General features: G+C 41.4%; 1 protein-coding gene across 9 annotated transcripts in view, besides 1 other annotated feature; it reads right to left on the reverse strand.

The window, feature by feature from the left end:
- GPM6B (glycoprotein M6B) overlaps positions 1–26,355 on the reverse strand; it is a 167,700-nt gene that overhangs the window by 41,609 nt on the left and 99,736 nt on the right. For 4 of the 9 annotated variants that reach the window (XM_005274489.6, NM_005278.5, NM_001001995.3 and 1 more), the window contains exon 1: positions 4,297–4,546. The exons of the other annotated variants lie outside the window; for them this stretch is intronic. In XM_005274489.6, the coding sequence (XP_005274546.1) occupies positions 4,297–4,357 (61 nt within the window). In that variant the 5' untranslated portion in view covers positions 4,358–4,546. Of the gene's footprint in view, positions 1–4,296; positions 4,547–26,355 lie in introns of those variants that run through there. 9 annotated transcript variants of the gene reach the window in all.
- Positions 15,025–16,224: an enhancer, noted in NCBI's record as "BRD4-independent group 4 enhancer chrX:13845691-13846890 (GRCh37/hg19 assembly coordinates)". NCBI's record gives its function as "activates an origin of replication core promoter dependent on BRD2, P300/CBP, MED14 and CDK7 cofactors, and independent of BRD4, by STARR-seq in HCT116 cells {active_cell/tissue: HCT116}" and the evidence as "EXISTENCE:reporter gene assay evidence [ECO:0000049][PMID:35650434]".

Here is a 26,355-nt window from a genome sequence, read left to right on the forward strand (position 1 = left end):
ACAATCCAATCCAATCCATCACAGTCACAGAGAGGGGAAGTTTAAGTCATGGGGACACTGGTTATTTTGCATGTTCTCAGATACATCAAGACAAAGTCACTTTATTAAGATCATTTAGTCTAAATTGACCCTGTACTTCCAAATAACAGAGAAATGTGATCTTGAAAATCATAATAATCTTAATTCAGGGTTTACACTCAATTTCAGGGAAGGCAAATCTAAATTTCCAGAAATGGCCCAGAATTCTTTTTCTAACGAAATAGCAAGGCCAAGTCTTTAAAAAAATCCTAATGGAATTAATAATGTAAAAGTAGAAGATGTACCAAATGGCTCGTTGAGATCTTTTCCACATTTAAATGTTCTAAAAAAAAAAAAAAAAAATCAAAGGAAGCTGTATCATACCTACCACATATGTTCCGCACCATCTGGCCAGCCACTTTTCTCTACAGCCTATTCCCCAGACACCAACTCTTCAGATGTCCACCTTGGCAAATTCTTACAGATAATAACTGCATCTAAAACTTCCTCTGTACCATATTTATATAGCCAAGTTAGAAAATGTCAACACAAATTTCAAAATGCAATAATTCGCAGATCATCAGGAATAGTGTGACGTGTGTTATGTGTCCCTTTGGGTTTTTAATCACACAAGTCGTATATTCTAGAGGAGTGCTTTTCTTCCTAAACGAAAAATGAGAGCCAAAAGTGCATACATTTTGCTAAATTAAAAAAAAAAATAAGAAATTATATCTATTTGATCAAAAAGATTAAAATAGATGTATTAATTTTTTAAGGAAGTCAATAATTTAAATTCATTTCTTACTTTGACTATATCCTGTAATTTATTTTAAATTACACATTGTTTCCCATTCACTATATTTTTCTTCCTGTGTGGTTAGGAATTTAATTTGATGCCTGTAATTTATTTCAGCAACGATTCATAGGAAGTTAACTAACCTGACTATAATTGTTTCAGTAGAATTCAATTACCTACATATAATGAAAATAATTTTCATAACAGATAGATTTTTCCCCCATAATAGAGCATACAAAGTTGTTATGATTCAATTGTTTTTCTACTCAGTGATTATCCACTCTCAGCAATTTCAGATGCATTTATTTTCACAAATGAAATGACAACAAGTAATACTCCACTGAAATCAATGGAAACCGACTCTCCATCTTTTTATTATTGGGTTCCATGATCTATTTCTTTTGATTCTGTCTTATTCATTTCCTCTGCTTATTCCATGTCAGTGAATCTGCTTACTCAATCTTCACACTTTAATGCTTTTAATTTAAAAACTATCATTTGTAATAATTTGGCATTTCTTACATCCATCTAAGAAAATCTGCTTGTTTTCCTTAAAAATCCCTAAATATCTACTAAATACTCTTGTGAATTTTGGTATCTGGTAGCATGCTGTGATGAAAACTATCAGACTGAAAAAACACAAATGCTTTCCTTTTTTAAGGACATGGATTAATTTTGTCTAAAGTAGAAACAAAGTCATTGTGATTAAGTTTAAAGAAAGAGCTCTCTTTGTAGGAGTTAGTGAATCACAATAGCTGGGTTGTGTTGTCCCGCTGAAACTCCCAGGAAAGATCCCAACTAGAAAAGCAAGGTCAATTTATAAAGCTAAGTTTAATTTACATTCTTAGTTCTTAATAGACACTGCAATAATTATCCAAAGATATTAATTCACATGCTATTGGGTATTAGCCATTGGGCAATAATGCCCCAAATTAAGAGACAGGCATCACTCCATCACCAACCACTGAAAACAGATGGGAAAGGAGAAACACAGGAAAAAAAATATATATGTGCATAAAAAACTCTGCGTAAAGTGACAAAATTTACAGGATTAAATTTAATGAATAAAATCCTTTGCTGAAAGGCTTAAAAGAAAAACATAAAAAACGGATCCACCAGCTCAAGAATTATATAACACATTCTATAAATAATTATGTCAAGTTTTCAAATGTTAATTTCAATGGAAAAATAATTTTTTAATAAACTTAAAGTTAAATCTGAAGGAATACTGATGTGACAATCACGCAGAAACATTTGTGGCTATCATTTTATCCTATGTGTACCTTAATGATGATGGGTGAGCAAATTGGGAAACTACAAAGTGTCTTGTGTGGGCTTTGATTTTGTGTAGCCAGCATATGAACTTGTTCATCTAAATGCAGATTAGATAAGCCACCCTCCAGATCAACAATTATGGTGGGTCACACAACAATCACAACCCCTCTTGCTGTAGATCAGGAAAAACAAATCCCCTGGCTTGTATTCTTATTCAAGCATGTACCATACATGTCACACTAGCTTCTGGTAGTGTGATATTTTTGAATTATTTAACAAGCAGCTAGTGTTTATACATTTAGGTAATTTTTAAAGTTCCTTCACAAATTATCTTTTGCTTCTAATTTTGTCTCTAAAATCACAACTAATGACTTTTCATATACGGGTTGTCAGGGATGTACTAGCAACCTGTAGATCTGTTATTAAATAAGATTTAATTGACATAAAATAATAGCAGTCCATAAGACTAAGTGATAAGATACACAGTTGTGTAGTAATGATTTTATATTGGTTATATGACCTTTGCTTCCTTTCAGAGAGAAATTTAAAAAAGGGATTTTTTTGCAAAGACCAAAACGGTTTTATCTGCCATGGTTGAATACCACATTAATAAAAATTAAAAGTATGTACTAAGTAAAATCATCATTTTAGGATAAAATCGTGATAGGCTTCCTTGGGACAATGCTATTACATTATCATACCCCGACAACATGCAATCAACTTAGTCTCTAGTCATCATGGAAAAAACTTTGATCTCACTTCTTCATCTTGATAAATATTCCCAAGAGCTTCTCTTATAGCTATTTGGTCATTGATGAAGATTTTTTTTTTTTAAAGACACACAAGAAAATACAGGCTGGGTTTTTGGTGGGGAGGTGTAGATTTGGTAAGAGGATTGAACTAAACAAACGATTTTAAAATTAAGGTGCTATGTACTTAATGCCACTGAATCGTATACTTAAAATGGTAAATTTTATGTTATGTGTATTGTGTGATACCTAAAAAAATTAATTTAAAAAGTAAAATTGCTCTGTTTAGGATAAAATATTATTGTGTACCAAAGAAATTTTATATAAAAACAAGCAGTCTTTACCCCAGCATACTGTGAAGCTGAAGTACATGTAATTGCCGTTTTTGTAGGTTTAAAATGGTTGACTATCAGCAATTTCATATGGTTCAGCCTGTATCTTTATAAATAAAACGAAGTTTTGTCCCCGTACTGGCGAATTACTCTTTAGTGACTATCAGTGGACGCAAGGGCTGTGAGAAATAACCTTAGCATGATGGCTTTTTATATTAGAGCCACTGCGGTTACAGAATATGTTTTTGGGCATTTATGACAGTCTATGACTTTGAGTGAGGGAAAATTACAATGCAGTGAGATCCATTAACCTAACAGTGGCTGAGCCGATTCTATGGGACATCAAACTTGAAATCAGTCATTATTTAGAAAAAAGAGATTAATTTTAGTTCCTTTCTGCCATTTTCTTACTGCAAAAACACTTTATTCTCCAAAAAACCATTCTGTATATGAAAATTGTGGTACGTTCTAAGATTCTCTTTAAGAAATAGGACCTTTATCAATTTTCTTCCCCCCAGTCTCCAAGTCATAATTAGCAGAAGATCCCCCGCCCTGCCTTTCCATCAGCACTGGGTGACAGAGCTGATGTCCCCTCTCTGAAGCTCCAACTGTAAATGATTATTACATGTCGTAGTCAGGGCCTGATACAAGAAAGAGCAATCATATTAGAATAAGAAAATTAGAGAATGCCCAAATCACTACAGCATTAGCGGAACCAAAGCAGAATTAACATGCATGCCCCTCCAGTTCCTCCTCAGCATTAGCAGAAAACTACACATTCCACGTTCCTGGAATATAACATGCAGGACACAAGACCTAAGTTACGATTAATTATATTAATAAAAAAAGACAGTTTCCCCAATGCATCAGCCCAAGGTGACAAACTATAGACATCCCTCTATGAAATATCACGTCGGTAGAAAGATTTGGAACAGGAATGGATTGAAGAAAGGCTGCTCTATTAACTTAACATCAGCCCACAGGAAAAAAATCAACCCTGAAAGCAAGACCATGCCATAGGGATTGTCTCAGAGCCATTTTAAAAGAGAGACAAAACCCAGCTAACCCTTTTTAAGCACCCCCCAGTGAAAAGCTTTAAACAGGCTATTGTCAGAGCGCTGGGTACCTTTTCTCTCTTGGCTTTGTTCAGTATTTTCCTCGGCTGCAGTTTCCATGGCTGGCTTCATACCATCCACCAAAAATGCTTTTCCCCCTGTTCCCCCCAACACACACTTGTTTTTCCTCCTCTTCCTTTTCTTTTGGACTCCCCTCCGTCTCTTATTTACACCCGTCTGATTGAGAGGCTCTGTTCTTCACTACAGTAGATTACAGTCCCTTCCAAGATGCAAAAGTCTTGTCAGCGTCAATTTCGCTCTGCCTACTGGTCCATAAAGACAGCTGCCAAGGGGCAGGCAGCCATACGTCACCGAGGATCCCAGTTAGAAAACAGCCATTCGGCGCCCGGTGGTGCCTACAGTCTCAATGCGGCTCCAGTGGGAGTTGGGGGTAGGGGGGTGGGGGAGAAGGACCTGCTCCCCACCGGGCTCTTCCTCCTTGCTCTCTTTCTTAAGATCTCAATCTCGATCTCTCTCTCTCTCTCTCTTTCTCCCCACCTCATTTCTTCTAGCCAAGTACACCCAATGAATGCTAATTAATTCTCCCAGGAAAAAATAGATTTGTGACATCAGAGGAGGGGATGTGAAGGAGAAAGAAAAGAGCCCCCTCCCACCACGTGACTTTGTTGGTCGACAGCAATATATGTCGTCTCTAAGGAGAATGCATGTCTTTGCATAGGCATGACACTTTCTTTCCTGTGTGGTCCATTTATGATGTATCAGTTTATTTCATTTACCCCTCGACCCTGGCAAAACATATTCAAAGGACGTGCCCATAGTCTCTATTTACTTTCTTAAATATTTGTCTTTCATACAATTTCTAGATAAGTACATTGCTTTTTAAAAATATAAATTAAAGAGGGGGAGAAAATACATTAGAGGGAAGAAAACTCAAACACGGATTTAACGATAGCAATGTAGCAATTTGTTATTAGAACCCACTCCCTTGTCTATAGTTAATATATATGATAGTAAGAGAAACTCAAGCCTAATTTGTAAAAAGGCACCCTTCCTTATTTAAAAATAAGCATAACATGTTCACAAGTATATCGAGCTGACATTTTGGTAGTTTCTTGGAATGAAAATCAAAATAGTTTTTTAATCGGATATGGTTATTTCTACATGGAGTTTTACTCATTAGAATTCCTCACTCCAAATCGAAGGGGTGTTTTCAAGAGCTCTCTAAATATTCAACATAAAGGCTAGTATACCAATAATGATTTGCCTTCTTGCATACCCAGATACCATGAGGCCAACATTCTCAACCCATACCAACATATAAGCCTTTATCATGATTATGAGCCATGTTTCCAAGCATCACTAATTTCTGCACCATTTTTTATGCATTTGGCTGACCAACTGGCCTTCGCCGTCCCTATAAAAAATTAGAGAGACTCAAGTCAAATACAGGGATGACCACTGATAGGATTCCCAGATCATGAATAGTCTGCTAGTTGGTTGGGCTTAACACTTATCTTGGAAGCAAACATAAAGACAAGTTGGAGACCACCCTCTCCTAAAATCACTCTCCTAAGTTTTGATGGTTTCTTGCTCAACTCCTTGAAAAAAAAGTATAAGGTACTGAATCAAAATCTTCTAAAAACCTGATCTTTTAATACCTTGGTTTTAGATAATCCCTCAAACCTTCTTATATTTAGAACTTCTAGATGTGTTACAGTCGAGAAGATTTTGAAAACCAGTTTAGCTTGTTTCAACGTTTAATTTTACATCTTGCTTTTCCCTTTACCATTGTCTTAGAAGACCACGCCCACAATCAAATATGTATTCCCTCAAATTAAGGCCCCAGCCAATTTTATTGTCTCCTGGTCAGGGGATTGAGAAGTATGGCAGCCTAAAACCACAGACTTTAGAAAAAAGATTCGTTTGTGATATAATTATTTCCATGGGAAAACCCTATGGTGTGTCCGGATAGGACAGTCTTAGACATTTTTTGCAAAGACTACTTAGGTCCATTCAAATATAGAAAGGTGGCAAGTGTTGGTATGTAACAGGCTTGCTTTCCCAGCAGTTCAAATGAGAATTAAAACCAAAACAAAATTCAATTCAGCACAAAAGAGGACACTGTGATTAGCTGTTATTGGTTTTTAAAGTGTCCAGCAAAAACATCTGATTATAGAACCAGCAGATCCTAATAATTTTTTGGCTGTTGCTTAAGAATATTATTTTAATAGTGATGCTGGTGAAAAGGCAGAATATGAAAGACATTCTTAATTTAAGAACAACTCTAGTTCTATATCGAGATCAAAACCATTAGACAAAATATTCACACATCCTCCAGTTGATACCTGCATCTACTTTCCACCTGAAAAACTACATGGAAATGAGCAATTCATCACTTTTGCCTGATTCACAACTTCATCATTTTCTTTTCACTAGGATAATGTATTACAATTCTAGAAATTACCATTATATCACTTTATAACAGCCTCAAGATCTCACTGATGTTTATGATAAACCATTTGAAAAACAATTGTCAAGAGGAAGAGAGAAGAGTATTGCTTATTACATTTCTGAGATATGCATCCATTTTTGGCCAGAAAAGTTCTATATGTAGAAGTAGGATGGAAAATGTCTTCCAGAGCTGAAAATATTTCTTTGAGCCCCATGCTCTAAGGCAGTCTGGTTGAAGGTAAGAACACTTCTGAAAGCCAAAACAGGAATACAAAATACTGAACAAAACAGATTAGAATAAACATATGAAATTGCTGATATTGACCAAGAAGAACAGCAGTTTCACGTGGTTTGACTTATATGTTTGTAAGTCTTCTGTATAATTGCAGCCAGCTCAGTAAACATGCATGAAGTAACCTCCCTAGTGCCAACATCTACAAGCAGCACAGACATGCACAAGTGACGATGCCTGTCTCCAGGTAACCCACGGCTAATGGGACACAGAAAACTCTTCTAAAACAGGGTGCTCCTGCCTGCCACAAGCACTATGGCATCACAACAAAGAAAATGGATGGAGGGGGAAGAGAATTTGAAAAAAGCTTTGCAGAGTTGAGTTGGCTATTGCAGTAATGCTTAGAAACCTGCTGGGTAGGGTAGGGAAGGGAAAAGCAGGAAAGAGGAACGGAAAGAGTTCTAGGAAAAACTGAAGGGCATATGAGAGGAAAAAGAGGGTACTGTCAAAGGGTCAGGAAGTGATTTTTCTGACAGAGGGACTGAAGGGAGATGGCTGAGCCAGTAGGTTGGGAACCAGGTAGGTTGAACACCTTGCTAGCCCTAGAGGCAGTAGGTAGAGATAGAAGGCTCAAGAGCAGAGCTGATCGTGCTTTACAAAGGTCATTCTATTGGTAACGTGGAAGACAGGGTGGGTGGAGTATGAGACTAGAGGCTGGCAAACTAGTCAGGAGTCTCCTGCAACAGTACCAGTAAGAGATAGTGTGAACCTGAACTATGGCACGGGGAGGAAGTGAGGACCCAGATGTCATTGGATTGGATCTGTATGAGTAGGGGTGGAGGAGGATTTGAAGGGGAGGCTAGAGTTTCTAGCTTGGGTGAGTGAGGAGATGGTCATGCTGGGAACCAATATGGGGAACCAAAGAGAAGGAAGAAGTTTGGTAGGGGAGATTATCAAGCGTGGTTGAAGGTGCTCTTAGGACATCCTGCAGGGACTAAGAGGCATTCAGGAATATGGCTCCAGAAGAGAGGAGCTGGCCAGAGAGCAGCATCCGGGAGTCTTCAGTGTGGAGGCAGCCCTGGGAGTACAAGAAGCCCAGTTCTGCTCAAATGCCATCTTCTCAGGGGACTCTCCCTGACTCTTGTCTAAAATAGCAGCCCTGACATTCCTGGTCCCCTTAATCTGGATTTGAGTTTCATCATAGCTTTAACCACGACTCAACACTGTTATTCACTTATTTGTTCATCACTTCCCATCCTCCTAGAATACAGGCTCCTTAAAGGCAGAAATTGTTGTCTTATTCTCCACTGTATTCTAAGAGCTCTTGGAACACTTCTGGGCACATAGCGGGTTCTCAACAAAATCTATTTTAAATCAATGTTAAACAACCAGGGAGAGATACAGATTTCAAGTATGCCAAGATTAGAGCTTAGGGTACACTACCTTTTAAATGTAAAGGTAAAGGAAAAACTTTAAAAAGAGGGTAAAAGAAACAAAGAAGGACAAATTAGAAAACGAGGGAAATAAGACCAAAGTGGAATCATGAAATTCGAGAAAGGTTCTGTGAAGGGCATCAAGTTAACAGTGTAGAATAGTGTCAAATACCATAAAAGGAGGAAAAAGGATGAGGACTAGCAAGCAGAAAGGAGTTTTACCACCAAATAGCCTTTGGAACTTCTGTGAGAAGGCTGAATGATGGGGAAGGATATAACACTTCCCAGTCTCTTTCACGATCACCCTCAAAATAGGAGGCTCCCAAGGTCCAGTTGACATGTTAAACTCATACATAGGGCTTTGGCTGATGCCTGTACATCTTGGCCCTGTTTTTAACCTGGCAAGATCATATTGGATTTTTCTTCTGTGATCTATTACATTAATGATCTTCCCAGATTTGTTCTGTTTCCAAGTATAGTAAATATGCTTTGTGTGTCTGGGATTCAAATCATTGATAGAAATGTTGAACACAACAAGACCAAGGTGAGGGAATCCCATGTAGACCTCTATGGACATCGTCCTGGTCAGTTGGCTGGTTCATTCTTTCATTTCTTTGTTCATTCATTCGTTTATTCATCCAAGATTCATTAAGCACTTATTAAAGGCCAGAAATCAAATCACTTTTTTTTTCTTTTTCTTTTTTGAGACGGAGTTTTGCTCTTGTTGCCTAGGCTGGAGTGCAATGGCGTGATCTCGGCTCACTGCAACCTCCGCCTCCCGGGTTCAAGTGATTCTCCTGCCTCAGCCTCCCAAGTAGCTGGGATTACAGGCATGCACCACCACCCTGGCTAATTTTGTACTTTTAGTAGAGACGGCGTTTCTCCACGTTGGTCAGGCTGGTCTTGAGCTCCTGACCTCAGGTGATCTGCCTGCCTCAGCCTCCCAAAGTGCTGGGATTACAGGCATGAGCCATCGTGCCTGACCCGAATCACTATTCTATGCTAATATGACTATGACTGTTCAGCTGACCGAGAATTCATCAAGTTGCATAATGATATACTGACACATCCTTATCCTAGTCACATAGCTAGCAAAGACTTTGTCAAATGCCTCCTTCCAACTTTCTAGGATGATATTTTAGGTTTCTTCTGGCTTTTGAAGGACTCCTCAGGGGGCAGTCATTAATCAGAAGGAGGGATGTTTCCACATTCTTTCTAACTACTAATACCTCTGCAATTTTGGTGTTTCATGGAACATTTAAGCAACAAGAAACACCCTGGCATAATCCTTCCTTATTGCCCCTCAAAGGAAATCAATACCCAGAACAAGCTCTACACCTCCCTCAACAAATTTTATTTCTTTTTCTCTTCAAGCCCCATTACACAGCAATTTTTCTTTTTTCTAAATTATAAATAAATTGTGCTTAAAATAAGTTTGTGTTAAGTGACTCCTATTTTTTTTTTTTCTTTTTCTGAGACGGAGTCTCGCGCTGTTGCCCAGGCTGGAGTACAGTGGTGCAATCTCGGCTCACTGTAACCTCTGCCTCCCAGGTTCAAGCGATTCTCCTGCTTCAGCCTCCCCAGTCGCTGGGACTACAGGCGTGGGGCCACCACGCCCAGCTAATTTTTTTTTTTTTTTGTATTTTTAGTAGAGGTGGGGTTTCACCATATTGGCCAGACGTTCTCAAACTCCTGACCTCAGGTGATCTGCCCACCTTGGCTTCCCAAAGTGCTGGGATTACAGACATGAGTCACCACGCCTGGTCTTGTGACTCCTATTTTCACACTGCTCCCCATGACAAAATCAAAGATGTGTTCTGGTATCAAATACATCGGCCCTCTGTCTACTTGGAGAAAACAGAATGATAAATACAGCAAGAATTCTTAAATAGTAGACAGAAAAGATACTTTTTATATAAAGTAGCAACGATATTCAACATATTAATAATTCTGTGATGTTAAAAATGCTGCATACATTTAAAAACACAGAAACTGGACACATAGCATGGAGCCAGGAATTTAGAATGTGACTGTCTACATTTGGGTCCTTTCCATAATCAGAATTTCCCAAAGCTTTATCAATTTGGCAAAGACTTTGTCCTCCATTACCGGAATTAAATTTCTCATTTTTCATCCAATGTGGGTTTTTAAAAAAATATCTTTTGATCCCTTACTCTTTTTAGTTTTTTTCTTCTTGTATTTTCTGAGTACCTCTTGTATATTTGCTATACTTTCCTTTATAGGAAATGACACTGCATAAAGCTAAGACTTGAAAAGACAAATCAAACTGGTTGGTGTATAGGAAAATGCTTATAAATGGTAAAGCTACGTGAACTATAAGCCGTCATTGCTAGTGTTTCTCTTTAATGGTAGAGGTGGAGCCCAGGCAGGTCACTGTCATGAAACTGGCTAACATCGATGACAATGAGCACACATGGAACCTCTGTTAGCCAGTCTCTTCTCAACTTAATCACTTGTTTATTTAACGACTGTCAGTGTCCTCATTAGGAGCCTCAGGAGCCACCAAAACAGTGATTGCTGAGTTTGGCAAAAGCCAACTTGAGTTGTAATGACCCTTTCTCTCCTGACAAAAACATTCCACTGAACCTGGTTTTTTTTTTTTTTTTTTTGACAGAGTCCTGATCTGTTTCCCAGGCTGGAGTGCAGTGGCATGATCTCGGCTCCCTGCAACCTCTGCCTCTCGAGTTCAAGCGATTCTCCTGCCACAGCCTCCCAAATAGCTGGGACTATAGGCGTGTGCCACCATGCCCAGCTAACTTTTGTATTTTTAGTAGAGAAGGGTTTTTGCCATGTTGGCCAGGCTGGTCTCAAACTCCTGACCTCAAGTGATCCGCCTGCCTCAGCCTCCCAAAGTGCTGCGATTAGGCATGAGCCACCGCACCCAGCTTCCACTGAACCTCATTTTCAAAAGGAGAGCAAGAGAATAAGTTTGGCACCAGCAGGCTGAGGCTTCCTGTGATGGAAACTGGTGCTGCATGAAAAGTTTCAACATACTGGGCTGCCAAATGGGCACAGCACAGGCAGTACTGCGGCATGAGGGGGCATGTGCCTCCTCAGCACTGGTGTCTACTGCATCTGTCTGTCCCAAAGTCAAGGTCGGTATTGCTGCTCCTCTCCTCGCTCTTAAATCAGGATTGCTCCACCTTGGCACTAGTGATGTTTGGGGCTGGATCATTATTGTGAGGCTGTCCTGGGCATTGTGGATGTGTAACAGCATCCCTGGCCTCTACTCAGTAGATGCCCAGGAGCACCACCCCGGTTCTGATGACCTAAAATGTTTCTAAACACTGCCAAGTGTCTCCTGGAGGGTAATATCATCCCCAGTTGAGAACCATTGCCTTAGAGCTATCTTTTCTTCCGTAAGCTTTGTCTGGCTATTGTGATATTCTATCAGCAAATGGTTCTCAGGCCTAGCTGTGCACTGGAATCATAGGGGAAGTTTTTAAAATATTGATGCTGGGGCATCACCTCCAGAGATTCTGATTTGACAGATGGGGTTGTGTGGTGGGCATGAGAGCTTTCAAATCTCCCCAGGTAATTCCAATATGCAGCCAACTGCTGGAGGCAGGAGGGAAACAGACAAAGTGTGCTACGATGATGGTGACACAATCAGAGCTGTTTTAGGAAAATTGTCCAGAGGGCAGCTGGATGGACAGATAGGAGACTGAAGAGGGCAGAGTCAGGGCGACCATACTTGATTAGGGAAGAGGTGGGGACTGCATACTCACCTGAGGCAGAAATGAAAAGCTGGGTATTAAGGCAAGAGGGAGAGATTCAGGGTTGATCCTGAGACTTTCAGCTTGGATCCCTAAAAGGATAGTGAGTCCCATAGGGAACTGGAGAGATCGGGTGATGTATTGGTTTTCTGGGGCTGCCAGAACAAAGTACCACAAAGTGGGTGGCTTTAAACAACAGAAATTATTCTCTCACAGTTCTGGAGCTGAGAAGTCCAAAGTCAAGGTGTGGGCGGGGCCGTGTTTTCCATGTTTTCTCTGAATGCTCTAGGGGAAGATCCTTTTTTCAGCCTGCAATCCTGACGTTCCTTGGCTTGCAGATGCATCACTCCATCTCTGCCTCCGTCATCACATGGTGTCCTCTCTGTGTGTGTATGTCTGTGTCTCTTCTTATAAGGACACCAGTCACATTGGACTGGGGCCTACCCTCATTGAGTATGACCTCATCTTAACTCGATTATGCCTACAAAGACCCTACTTCCAAATAAGGCCACATTCATAGGTAGCAGGAGTTAGGACTTCAACATATTTTTTGAGGGGGGTGGGGGACACAATCCTACCCACACCAGATAAGGAGAGTGAGAAGGACTATCAAGTTTGGAAGCCATGTGGGTGGTGTCTGTGCAGCTGCTCAACCTAAGCAGAGTTTGGAAATGAAGACTTGAGCGTTACCACCAGCAGAGAGGAACCTATTATCATCACAGGAGTGGGTGGGATGCCAAGGCAGAAGGTACAGAGGAGAAAACCTTTCAGGTGCCTCCTAATTCAGGGGATCTCTAGTGGGAGAACCACCCTCGAAGGACGCACAAGATGTTGGCAAAGATCCAGGACAGGGCCCTGTCACAGAGGAGGAGGGAATTTTAAGAAGGAGGGGGTGTCCCCACAGTCAAGGCAACCAGAAGGCGAGGACTTGGCAAAGGCCACTGAAATGGAAAATTCCGATGTCCTTGCCAGCATCAGTGCAAAGCCTGGAATGGAAACCACTTTACAGGGGGGCTACAGAAGTTCGGTTGGGAGGTGAAGAAGAGGAAGCAGGGGCAGCCCACTTTCTAAAGAAATTTGGTGGTGAGGGGAAGGCCAGAGAAAGATGCAGGCAGCTTAAGGAGAAAAACACAGTCAGGAAGAGAGGCCCAAACATGTCTTATGCTGAAAAGGCAGTGACGGCCACTGAAAGACAGGTTTCAAAAGATGCCGGTGAAGATGGACAGATGATGAATGGAGATCACAGGAGAGGAAGAGGGCCAGCTGTGGGTGGCAGGATGTGATGCTTCTCCTTCTGAAATGGAAGTGAGGAAGAGGAAATAGAGGGAAAAGGAAAAGTCATCCAACTCCAAGATTTAAGGAATTTCATCTTAGAAGAGGTGGTAGGGATGGAGAGGTTAAAAGGGCAACCTGTCCAGCATTGAGAAGGGTACATTTGTGTCTTGATTTAGTTCACCTCATAGCCCTAAGAAGGAGAAAGCATCAGCTCTGTTTTATGGGTGACAAAACGGAAGGCACGATGATCTTGGGTCTTAGTGAGGTAGGTGGATTGCCCTGAGTCTAGACTGCCCGGGGACCTGAGTAGGGCTGAGTTTCCAGGGGCACAGAGACCCTAGGGAGGTAGAGTGAAGGAGACAAGGAATACCCTTACCTTACGTCTCAGCATCCTGAGGGGAATGGGCCCCAACATGACAGAGCCACACTGAAGAAACAAAGCCAAAATGGGAAATGAGGACCAAATGATCGGTTTTTAAACTAGCTTTAAGAAAGTTTCTGGCCGGGTACAGTGTGGCTCATGCCTGTAATCCCAGCACTTTGGGAGGTCAAGGCAGAGGATTGCTTGAGCCTAGGAGTTCAAGACCAGCCTGGGCAACATAGAAAGACCCTGCCTCTATTAAAATACATACATACATACACACATACATACATACATACATACAAGATAGCCAAGTGTAGCGGGGCACACCTATAGTTCCAGTTACTCAGAAGGCCGATGTGAGAAGATCGCATGAGCCCAGGAGTTGGAGGCTGCAGTGAGCTATGATCACACTACTGCACTCCAGCCTGGGTGACAGAGTGAGACCCTGTTTTTTGTTTTTTTGTTTTTTTTTTAAAGGAAAGCTTCTATTTCTTCCTGTGTACACAAGGCATACATCAGGAGACAGACAGCTGATCTACTGACAACATGCTTCCTAATTATTACATCCCATGGGGCACTTGGATTCTCTCATTAAGAGTGGCACAATGAGCATTCCCTGTGAGGGCCCCCAATTAACTCATCTACCCAGCATGTTCCAGCCAACATGAACAAGGGCCAGCCTTCCAGACTCCTCTTTGTTAGCTGTTTAACCGCCGTTATTGGAATCCCTGTCATGTTTCTGGAGCAGTTCCTTCTCGGTTCAGCAGAAACCACCGGGGCTGGGTTATTCTCTCACTCAAAGAGTCTGCAACTCAACCACAAAGCTGGTGGAACCCGGGGTGCTCTGCTGAGGATTTGCCTTATATCATCTGCCAAAATCCCAATCGCACTGTCTCCCCATCTCCCCAGCTCCAAGTCCCCTCCTGAAAGGCACGGGCTAAAGTCCATCTCCTTTAGAAAGCCTCCTTGGTGAACTACCGACTTCCTTTTTTTTTTTTTTTTTTTTTTTCTTTTAGAGTCCAGGTCTCACTTTATCACCCAGGCTGGGGTGCAGTGGTGCGATCATGGATCACTGCAGCCTCAAACTCCTGGGCTCAAGCCATCTGCCTGTCTCAGCCTCCCAAATAGCTGGCATTACAGGTGTGACCACGCCCAGCCCATTTCCCCCTTCTTAGCATTCTAACTCACCCCGCTGTCTCTCAGTTATAAATGCAAGCCTCCCTGGATGGCAGTTCCCTGCACTGAAAGGACACTCATCTGCCTTGACCTTCCTCCCACCCAGGTTGGAGACAAAGGCTTGTGCCAACTTGGATGAGGCCTAACCTTCAATACTGTGCCACCATGGAAAGCTTCCCAAGGTAGGCGGATCTCAACACCTTCAGCCTGCTTTGCTAAAGGAAGACAGACATTACCAAATTGAAGGTTAAATCACAGGACACTTGGGCTGTAAAAGTTCTCACAACAGAAGTTGGAAAATTATGGGATAAGTGCAGCAGAAGTAGCGATAAAGATGACGTGACTTCTTTAAGAACCCTTCTGAGAACTCAGGGTGGCTCAGGGAAGCCTTCACGCCTTGATGCTGTTTCAGCCACTCCCTGCCTTCAACATGCAGGAGTTGACGTCATCTTTCCCTGAAATAGAGTCAATGTGTGGATTAATGAGTTTCTACCTGTCGGGCTGCCAGGAAAGGTGCTTTCTCATGCAGGCACACAGATGCCCACATACCTCTTGGGGAACCAGACCCCTTCAAATCCACCCCTCCTACAGTGCTCATGTCACAATGATCTGAGCAACAGAAAGCATCCAACAAACCCAGGGGTTGGTTATATTTTTCTAATCTTTGTACATGCTCCTCTGCAACTATCACCAACTGTTATGGTTTGAACGTATCCCCAAATTTCATGTGTTGGAAACTTAATCCCCAATGTGGCAGTACTGAAAGGTGAGTCCTTTAAGAGGTGATTGGGTCATGATAATTAATCATTCATGATTAATAAATTAATGTGTTAATGGATGAATGGATTATCATGGGAGGGTACTGGTGGTTTCATAAGAAGAGGAAGAGAGACCTGAGTTAGCACACTCAGCCCCCTTGCCATGTGATGCTCTGTACCACCTTGGGACTGTCCCCATCAGCAAGAAGGCCCTCACCAGATGCAGCCCCCTGGACCTTGCACTTCTCAGCCTCCGTAACTGTAAGAAATAATTTTTTTTTCTTTGTAAGTTTCCCAATTTCAGGTATCTTGTTATAAGCAACAGGAAAATGACTAATACGCAAAGTCATCACACAAACAAACTGTGAGTGCCAGCTATCAGGGATACTTGGCGAGTTCCTTTCAAGTGGTTTGTTTTTATTTGCTACAGGCCAAGGTGCTGGCTATATGAGGAACCCATGGACTGGGCTCAACGCTGTGTCCAGAGGACCCACTGCACCCACATGAGATGTGACAGTAGCTCAGGAGGAATGGACAGAAGCCAACACTCAAAGCTGAGGGTCTCCTCAGCACCAGCACTACTACAATAACTTTAACCCAAGTTCTTTCATTTTTGCCTTCATGACAGTATCCATCCCCCTTGCATGGATGAAGAAACGAAGACCAAAGGGAGCTGTACACGGACTTGGCCAAGGTGGTCAAGAAGCTGGTCAGAAGCTGAGCTGAACCTTGACTCAGGCCACTGGATGCCAGAGTAGGGAAACCAAGAGTCAGGCAGCAATGATGGCAGGAACAAAAGCTCAATAAGGCCCCAGGTGACTAGGTGATCAGCAGCATCAACTGTTGAACTCAGAGATTCCAGGTCACCACCAAAGAAAGCTTCACTCAGAATGGCTATTCCATCACTTGCAACTATCTCCCCAAAACCTAGTAATCTGGAGTTCCCCTTCAAACTCTGATAAAACATGGGGCCACACACTTCCGCAACTCAGGAAGGCTCTCATGTCTGCAACCTTGTCCAGCATCCCTGCCAGCCCCACTCCAATGCTTACCAGCCTTATGATACCATGTGACCTTCCTGAGTTTCAGCTTCATTGTCTACCAAAAGGACTCATAAGAGAACTTCCCCCATAAGGCTATTGTTAGGAGTGTAACACTGCATGCAGCACCTCAGCATGATACCTCCTACATGACACTTACAAAATGCTATTTCTATTTTCAAAGTCCTTTATGCTCCCACCACCATCATACAGGTCCCAGGGAGAGGTAGAGAGAGGAAAGACTAGCTGGTGATTTCACGTCCTTCTAGATCTTTCCCTGACCCTGAAAAGTTCATTTCTGTGCCCTTGCCTGGCCTGGATTTCTAGGGGCACTCCCCACTCCACCCGGTCCCACCCCAGACCTGTGCTCTGTCCTCAAATTGTAGCATGGTCCTCCCTGAGGAGGTCCAATTTGGATGTGAGACCTGAGATTGACTAAGTTGCAAATAAATAAAAGGAACTGAGATGAATAAGATAATGGGATTAAAAAAAGACATGCCTTCAAGGGTACTCTTTCAACAATGGACTAAATTGTTTTCTGGAATCTGTAGGATATTGCTAACACCTGGGTACTCAAGTCCAAATTAAATCTGTCCTGAATTTTTTTTTTTTTTTTTTTTTTAAAGCACAGTGGAATTTCTTTCTTCATGTCAGAGAATCAGGCAAGCAGGGTCAGCTTCAGGGGCATGTGATGTGCATAGAGCCTTGCCCTCAGAAGGGCCTGAAGCTTGGTTTAATACTCTGATGGCACTGTCTTGAAATTCTTAATCATTTTATCTTCGAACCTGTGTTTTCAAGTGAAGTCCAACGGGACCATGATGCACGCATGTGAGCAAAGGAGCTACGTGCTCCTTGCCACCTCATTTGCATACCACATTCATGATGTCCCATGAGCTCAGAATTCTTGTGAATCCCTGGTGCATGGGGAGTTCAATAAGGACTCAAAGTCCGTAAAAGGTAAGCATGTTCCATCTATGACTAAGTAAGCACTGGTGTGAACAGTCCTAAAGGTCACACTTTCTGTTCTAAGCTCAACTTGCTTCAAATGCAGAAAGAAGGTACTGGAGTTCTAAGAGACATGAATGACCAAGGAACCTGACCATATCCTTCCTTACTCCTGTTACTTCCCTGTATTGGCCAAGCACTTAAACTGAAAATAATCCAGAAGGAAAGGGAAAGATAGGGCAACCGAGTTCCTTTTCCTTTCAGTTCTTCCTTACTTACTAGCAAGCCACAGGGAGGGAGTGTTGAGGATGTGCTAATATCAATAAGTAAAATCAAAACAATTGAGTTAACTTTGTGCAGCATTTCCACTGTTCTAGTTCGTATAAAATACACGTATGTACTAGCTACAAAATACAAATTGTGTGTCAGTGATCCCACATACATGGCAAATGGTCTTAAACTTGCATCTAAAATTTGCACTGTACAATTGAAGGATGGTTGGTAAGATTCACACTAATAATTTAAAATGACATTAAGTTGCAAACAAAAATGTCTTGACAAATCGAGAGAGAAACTGGAAGAAAGGGAAACGTTTTTATTTTAGTATCGTGAATGGCCCTTTTTTCCTGCCTTTTGAACAACTGGCCTGCATTTTCATTTTGTACCTGGCTCTGCAAGTTCAGAAGCTGGCCCCTCACTGCAAGGCCTGATCCAGTAAATTGTCACTGCAAGGGAAAGGGGGCAGGGGTCGCTGTGGCCATGTGGTGGCATGCTAATGCAATTTCAGTGGGATTAAGGGTGTATGTGATGATTCTATAGGAGTCTGTTCTTTTGCTGCTGTGGCAGGTCACTGGTACCTTCCCCTTACTGGCTCAATGACATTTCATAAATAAGCTATGGATACTATAGTACAAGGCAGGCACAGGCTTACGGTCCAATATATGGTGAGTAAAGGGATGTAGAAGAGCTCAGTACACACACACACACACACACACACACACACACACACACACACACACACAAATGGCTTGGGGGACCCACATGGAAACTGGTTTATTTACAATCAGGCCCTGTCTAAACATTTAGGGTCTCAAAAATCTATTGAGATGGTTGGCTCTGATGGTTGGGATGGGAATTGGGAGGTCTCGGTTCTAAGGTTCTAATCTTGGCTCTGTCACTTGCCAGTCACGAGGCCATGGACAAGATGCTTATAGAGCTTGTCCTGGCTCTAAGATACGCTAGGTCTTAAGTGACCAGTTCAGCAGGATGGTTATAAGGAAAAAAGAACATCAGGTAGGAAGCCCTACAACCCAGCAGGCATGGCCCCAGCTCCATCACCACTCCTATTGACCTAAGCCATCCTCTGACTGTACAGGTCAAGTGACTGTGCACCTGCTCTTACTGACCTCTAAACATCATCCAACCCTGGGATGGATTCCACTGGGCTCCTGGCGTTCTTTGGGGCAAGATGTCAAAACTGTTTCTTTGAAAGTATATGGTGCAATTAAGTTTTTCTCAGCCTTGATCTTACTAACCTGTGCCCTTCAACCTCTCAAAGCAGTTACACTGAAATTATTATCTTCAGATTGCTAAGAGCAAAAAATGAAAAGATAAACCAATAAAACCATTACAAAGATATTTTATAATAAAATTCAGGCTCTGTTATCTGCTTGGAGATGTATTTTAGAAACAAAATGGATAAAATTTAGTGCTATCAAATATATAAAAATTGAAAAACCAAACTTAACATTCGAATGTATTTCCCCACCCTCAACAGAAATCTGATAGAGAGTTTTAAGATTGGTTAAGATCTTTTCATGAACTGGGAATTACAATTTGTTAAATATAATTAAAACAATATATTTATGTACTTTTTACAATTAAAAAAACAGGCTATTGATAGACTAGGAGGAATATATTTGCCAGCCCTCTAACTGGCAGGGTGGATTCAGGTGATCTGAGTGAGCATGTAGTTGTCACCTTCCTTTGACTCTACTGCAAGTGTGACTTTCATGAAGCTACCTACTCAAATGAAGGGAGATGAACATCCTAGACCCAGCAGCCTCACACCAGGTGATTCTGAGATACACCAAAGACTGAAAACCATTAATTTACAGAAGAACGTGACTATCCAACACGCAGTTAGACAAAATATTTGAAATTTACCAACATGTGGCTTGTTGAAGTATCCGAAATTTACTTTCTGATGTTAGCATTCTTGCTTTTGCTAGTTCAGGAAAGTACCCAGGACTTATAGATATGTAAGTCAATGGCCCTCAGACTAAAGTCTACAGAAAACCAGTGCCTTGTTGGGTCAGCTGCTTGGGTGGTCCACGGTTGGTATAAAACACAAACTGCACAAAAATTGGAGCTATTTCATTTGGTCTATTGCTGATGATAATTCACACTAAGACAAGGCCACACATTTTAAAATATATTCACATTATTCAAATGCAATCTTCTGTTCAATTGTCTCATCTGTTTACCTTCTAGGATGGAAATTAGAAGTAGGATGAAGTCATTTAGGTCCTTTAATCCACTAAATAGTCAGTGGCCTTTGAAAATTGAAAAGCATTGGGACAACTTGAAATAATGATCCCTGCCAGGTCAAACATAAAATATCCTATTGGGTAGAAAGGGCAACCAATGAAGAGTAAATCTCAGTGATCTCATGGAATCTACCAATAATATTTTAAGTCATTAAAAAGCACACAATGTTTTCATAGCACAGAATCTGCAGATTTAGATCATCTCAGAGGAAAGGTCAAAATCTGAGGAACAGTTGGGCTTGGTGGCTCAGGCCTGTAGTCTTAGCTACTCAAGAGCTGAGCCAAGAGGATCACTTGAGCCCAGGAGTTTGAGGTTATAGTGAGTTATGATCTTTGCTTCTTTGTGAGCTGTCTGACATTCAGCATTCCCTAAAAATCTGTGTATGACGCTGACATTCATACAGCAGATGACAAATATCCACTCGCATTAACCCATAATAACTTAAGGGCTGGGCAGTTTTAATTTATCCTGTAATTGTACATTCATAATTTCTACATCAATGACATACTGTATTGCCGAAACAAATGTATTTTCTATTTTTAGATAGGATTACTAGATCAAGTGAATGCTATTGTCTATGCTGACCTCACAAGCTATTTGATAAAACCTCTTTCCATATATTTGAGAATAAGATAGTGCAATGTTAGCAACATAATGGTACACTTTAAAAATTGTGTCAGCCAGGCACTGTGGCTCACTCCTGTAATCCCAGCACTTTGGGAGGCTGAGGTGGGAGGATCTCTTGAGCCCAGGAGTTCGAGCCCAGCCTGGGCAACAGAGCAAGACTCTATCTCTTAAAAAAAAAAAAAAAAAAACTAGAAAAAAAATTAGCTAGGCTTGGTGGCATGCACCTGTAGTCCTATTCAGGAGGCTGAGGGGTGAGGATCTCTTGAACCCAGGAGTTTAAGGCTGCAGTTAGCCATGATCACACTATTGCACTCCAGCCTGGGTGACAAAGAGAGACCCTATTAAAAAACAAAAACAAAACTGTGTTCATCTGTGCTTTCAATGTACAAACAATTTGAGGTCAGTTAGTCATACACTCAAGTGGAATCAGAACGGGCTAACGTGCTTTCTAAGTGGTAACTAAGTGATGGCTTTCAATTCAGAGAGGAAGGTTTCTAGTGCTCTGCCATTGGGCTTTGTCTTTGGTTCATGCCATGAAGGTGACAATGTCACCCAGGGCCCTGAGAGGGCAGGCTATGTACCTTCATTTTACCACACAGACATTTAAGATGAAGGCACTGGAGTCAAACAACCTAGGATTTCTTCCCAGAAACTACAACGAGAAGAATTTTGTTCAATTCTTCTGATTATCCGGTCTTATTTGAAATAAACATTATGTGCCCAGAATTCTAAAACAGGAGGGAAATTTTAAAACCATCCAGCTCATCTTTCCTTTTCCAGTCTGTAATCAGGATGGATAGGACTAAAGAATTCAAGTCTCTTGATTCCCACCCAAACATGCTCTTTTTTCACCTGATGTATAGTTAGCAAAGCAAATATTCTGTTAGGATAAGGCTCAAATGCCAAATCTACAATATATTCACTAGGCAGAGATAATTCTTCCTAAAGATATACATCTTTGCCAAGCCACATTCCTGTATTTTTACAAAATGCCTTTTAAAAGTAAAATCTTACTGGGCCAAGAGAGAGCACAATAGAGAAGACAACATAAATCTTTGGAAATCAATGCTTGTTAATGTCAATTTATCTTTTTAATGAAAAGCCACTGACAAACCATGCCATACAATTAAGTAAGCGAATGCATGCCATGGGCTTTGCTCAAGACCAAGGAACAGTCAATAAAAAGTAGTTGTGATGATTGATAGGCGAGGCCAGAGTAGGGCTTAAAAATTTTTTTCATGAAGGCAATAAAACTCTGGGATGGAGCTTGTCAACCTGTCTCTGTCAGAGTATAGTAGATGGATAATGGTCACCTGCTCCACCCACTCACAGGGGAGAACCTTGGATTATAAGCAATTTCTAGCTCTCAACCTGAGATCCCACTCATTCTCAGGAAAGCTTCTCAGTGGAAGGCAGCAACAGTGGTACATAAGAATAAATGGATACTTGTCATCGTATTAAGACATACCAGTTCGAAACATCTTAGCTGTCAGTTAATAACTCATCTGTTTACTTAATGGATATTTATCAAGTACCAGCCATGTGCCAAGGATTGTGTCAGGTACTGTGGATATAAAAAGAGTGGAGACTGCTTCTCACTGGAGGAGCTAATGGGCTCATGTGAACAGAGGGACACAAACATTAATTTTTTTATTCAGCAAATATTTACCTGTTTCCCTGTGTGTGGGGGTGGTGCCACTGTCATGGCAGCTAGAACCACAGAGCATCTCAGCAGACTAAACCGTGCATGAGTACATGAATGTTGGGTCCATGTCTCATTCATTCACCAGTATAGACCCAGCATCTAGCCCGGGACAACTATTATTGGTGTTGCTAAATGGCCAACAAGAGCCATCTGGTCCTCAGCCTTCCCAAACTCATACAACCCATGGAAGGATGAGTGGAACCATGGGGGCAAGTATGTAGTCAAGCTTAACTCTGCCAGCAAGAATGGCCAATAAAAGCTGGAAGGGGCAGAGGATGTGTGGCAAGCACGGCTTCCTAGAAGAAATACTATCTGAATGGGTACTTGAGAAATAATCAGAAGTTCTCTATCTGATACACTTTTAGGAATTTCAGTTTTTTGGGGGGTGTCCTAGACCCCAGTGAAAAAGCTAGGAGTTTTTCTTCAACTCTACAATGGGAGCAAGTTTCTTAACTCCTTGGTGCCTCAGAGCCTCACCTGTACACTGTAATATTTAGTCATATCCACCTTCAAGTGACTGGGAAGATTAAATGAGGATGTAGTAAACAGATGAGAAGAGTTCCTGGCTAGATTAAGTATTAAATACAACATGTAGATAAAAGCTAGTCTTACGTGTACCTTTTAAAAAGCTGTCTATACAGGATTTTTTTCCAGTCATGGCACCATCATCAGGGTTTTGCCTGAAACATCAAGAACTAAGAGGGGCTAGTGCATCCCTGAGTTTCAAATCAGTGACAAGAAGTCTCACTTTCAGAGTCTGCTTAACTCCCAACTTCATTCAACTTTTACATTTTATAGTAAAACACAGAGGTACACCATCAGTGCTAGATGTGAAAAATGCTTGGCAAGACAATGTATTAGCTTCTAGTTTCTGAAGATATGAACAGAGTGACAGCTTAGCCGCATGCCAAAGCTGACTCAAACAAATGCAGGATGGTCTTCAGAACACGTGGCTCTCAAATGCTAATCTTACACCACCTGTTGAGGTTAATAAGCAAGATGTGTTAAACGTTTTGTGACCTGCCAGAGTTTGAATGAGACAAGTCTTGAGCTTACAACCAGTAGCAGTTTGCACTTTAAATCACTCATACAGGTGGCTGATCTGCTCCTTCACGATGATATCCTTGATCTGCTACAACTTCAATCAGAAAAAAATTAATGGTAACTTAAATGGGTTGTGTGATTCTAATGCTAAAGCATGCTTACCATACCAGTGAAAGACTCACCAAACAGAAGACTCCAGACCTTAATTTAAGGAAGAAAAAAATCTACAGAGGCTTAATCATTTAATACCTGCATGCATCTGGATAAGTGAGCTACCTATTTGTAGAGGTAAATGAATGAGCTCTAACCCTAGTTTCTATCCAATGAAGTTCTGTGGATATAAATAACGTCCCATTTTTACAGTGCAAAGATTTGTCATGCTTTAGCTGTTCAGAATTTAGAGTCAAGAGAAGCAAAGATGCTATGTTTATTTATTTATGTATTTATTTTTAAAAGCACCTTACTATTGCAGTAAAGACATCCTATATTTTTGTTTCACACCTAAAGCATACTACCATCAGTATCGACTAAGTACTCAACACAAACCTAGAATGCAATTAACATTCCTTTTCTAGCTTCAAACGATTCACTTTCATGAACTATACAGAACACACTACGTGTGTACCTGACATATACAAATTGCCTCCAATGACTCATGCGAAATTTCAATTTGGAAGCACTTTTGCAGGTCTTAATAGCTGTTTGCTAATGCATGCATTATTCTTCAGTTATAAAATTCATACATTTAAAAAACTGAGCTAAGGAGTGCTCACGAGGAACAAAATCAATGCGCTTTCCTGCAAAAAAAATCAACCACTCAGAGCAAGAAGGAAAACATGTTTTTCATATTGTTGAACACAGGAGTAAGCATCCAATACTGTTGTCTCATTGTTCAGAAATGCTAGCTAACTTTGCCCCATAAAAATCAATGTTTAATGCATAAAAATTTAACTACATATCCAGTTATCCGGCAAGAGAGCCAACTGAATAAGCTGAAGACTTGACAAAAATAAACGCAACCCAAATTGTATGAAACCACGACATGACAGCTTTGAAGGGATATGTATCTAGATATCCCTTCAATCACAACCTTGATATCTCATAAAGTTGTTACTGCCATGTCAAAACACTGATTTCTCTTTTTCTTTGTTACGACTTATCTAGGAGGTAGAAGTCCCCTTTCCTAGTCCCCTGTAGAAGTTCCCCACCCTGGCGTGTTTATTCATTTTACACACACGGCCTTCCCCCGAGGGGGCCGCTGAGTCACCAGTAGATTGTGGCAGTGCCTGGGGGAAGGGCAGAACAGACCCATGAGAACCCACTCAACTCCAGGCAGCCCGCAGACCCAGGGGGGCTTCACGGGTGACTGGAGGTGCCACCCTATTCATCCCCTTTCTCTCTGCACAATAACAAAACCCCGAACCCTCATAATGCCACCTTCTCCTCTCTTTATCATCATTCATATCTCAGCTATGACAGGCCAAAAAAAGAGTCTGATGGGAAATGTGCTGCAAATTAGCATATTCCCCCCCTCCACACAATAGAGGCTTTTAAGCTTTGCTTTTTCAAAGCAAGTTGGTGGGGGGGGGGGGGGGGGGAAGCAGAGGGGAAAGCAAAGCTGCGCTTAGCAACAGTGTCTGAAAATTCATGGATTTGCTTCCTTCAAAGCGGCTTGCCTGATTGTCAATTTTGTTGTAGCAAGCCTTCCCTCAAATGGCTTAAAAACTTATTAGAAAGTATTTATTGGACCACCGTGTAATAAACATCCTCTCTCTCGTCATTAAATTGCAATTAAATTCTTTGATTAAAAAAAAATTACAAACCCTAAACTCCTTCTCTCATCTTGCTATGGAGCATGACATCACCTTTCTTCCTGGAGAAACTGACAAAATAAAGAAATCCAGTTACTGTAAATACTTAGTAAGGGGCAATCTTCAGAGGGGACACCTCTGCCATGCTTATTTATAGGTTTCCTATCTCCACTAGTAAAAAGGAAAAAAAAGAAAAAAAAAAAAAGGCAATATGGATGCTTTATCCTGAGACTTGACTATGGGATGCCAGCAATCACTTCATGCGTACCTTTCTCAAAGGCTGTCCCTGTCACCTTTGATGTTGCTAAAGATGAGTTCTAAAACTTCAACAGGCTGGAGCTAGCAAAACAGACTGCGATGTTTTTGAAAGGTCATAAAAACAAAATCAATCTAGTACATCTTTAAGAGTCCAGCAAAAGAAATGATTTGTGTTCCATGCCACTAAATATTAATTCTCCAAAGGACTGCATCTCAATTTGAGGGTGAGAAATTAAGATTCATCTGGCTCAGACTGAATTCTTTGAAAGGGCTCTGAGCTCTTTAGTGGCAACTCAAAACCATCAGGGACACTTAAAGTGGCACCTTCTTCATACAAGCTCCAGTTCCTTAATTATCACTCATTGGTTTCTAAGGCCCCTAAGACAAGGCCAGTGACATTCAGAGTGTCAGAGCTCTCCTAAGGGCCAAGGTGGAACCAGGCACCAGCTGGGGGCTGAGCTAGGCTCTGGAAGGCCCATGCATTCCTGCCTTCCCCTGCCCAAAGGGAGGAAGGGGAGGCAGCTGAACCTGATGGCAAGGGACCATGTGCTTGGCATCCTACACATGGTCCCTGCAGAACTACTGTAGCCTATTGCCTTTATTAGAGGCCTAGACATTGTCCCTCTCCCTCAGGCCTAGGTGCTCAGCTCTGCCCATCCTCCTGTAAACCAAAAATAAAATTCTAAGCCCCCAACCTATTGAC

This window comes from Homo sapiens, chromosome X (genome assembly GCF_000001405.40).
Source record: "Homo sapiens chromosome X, GRCh38.p14 Primary Assembly".
NCBI lineage: Eukaryota > Metazoa > Chordata > Mammalia > Primates > Hominidae > Homo > Homo sapiens.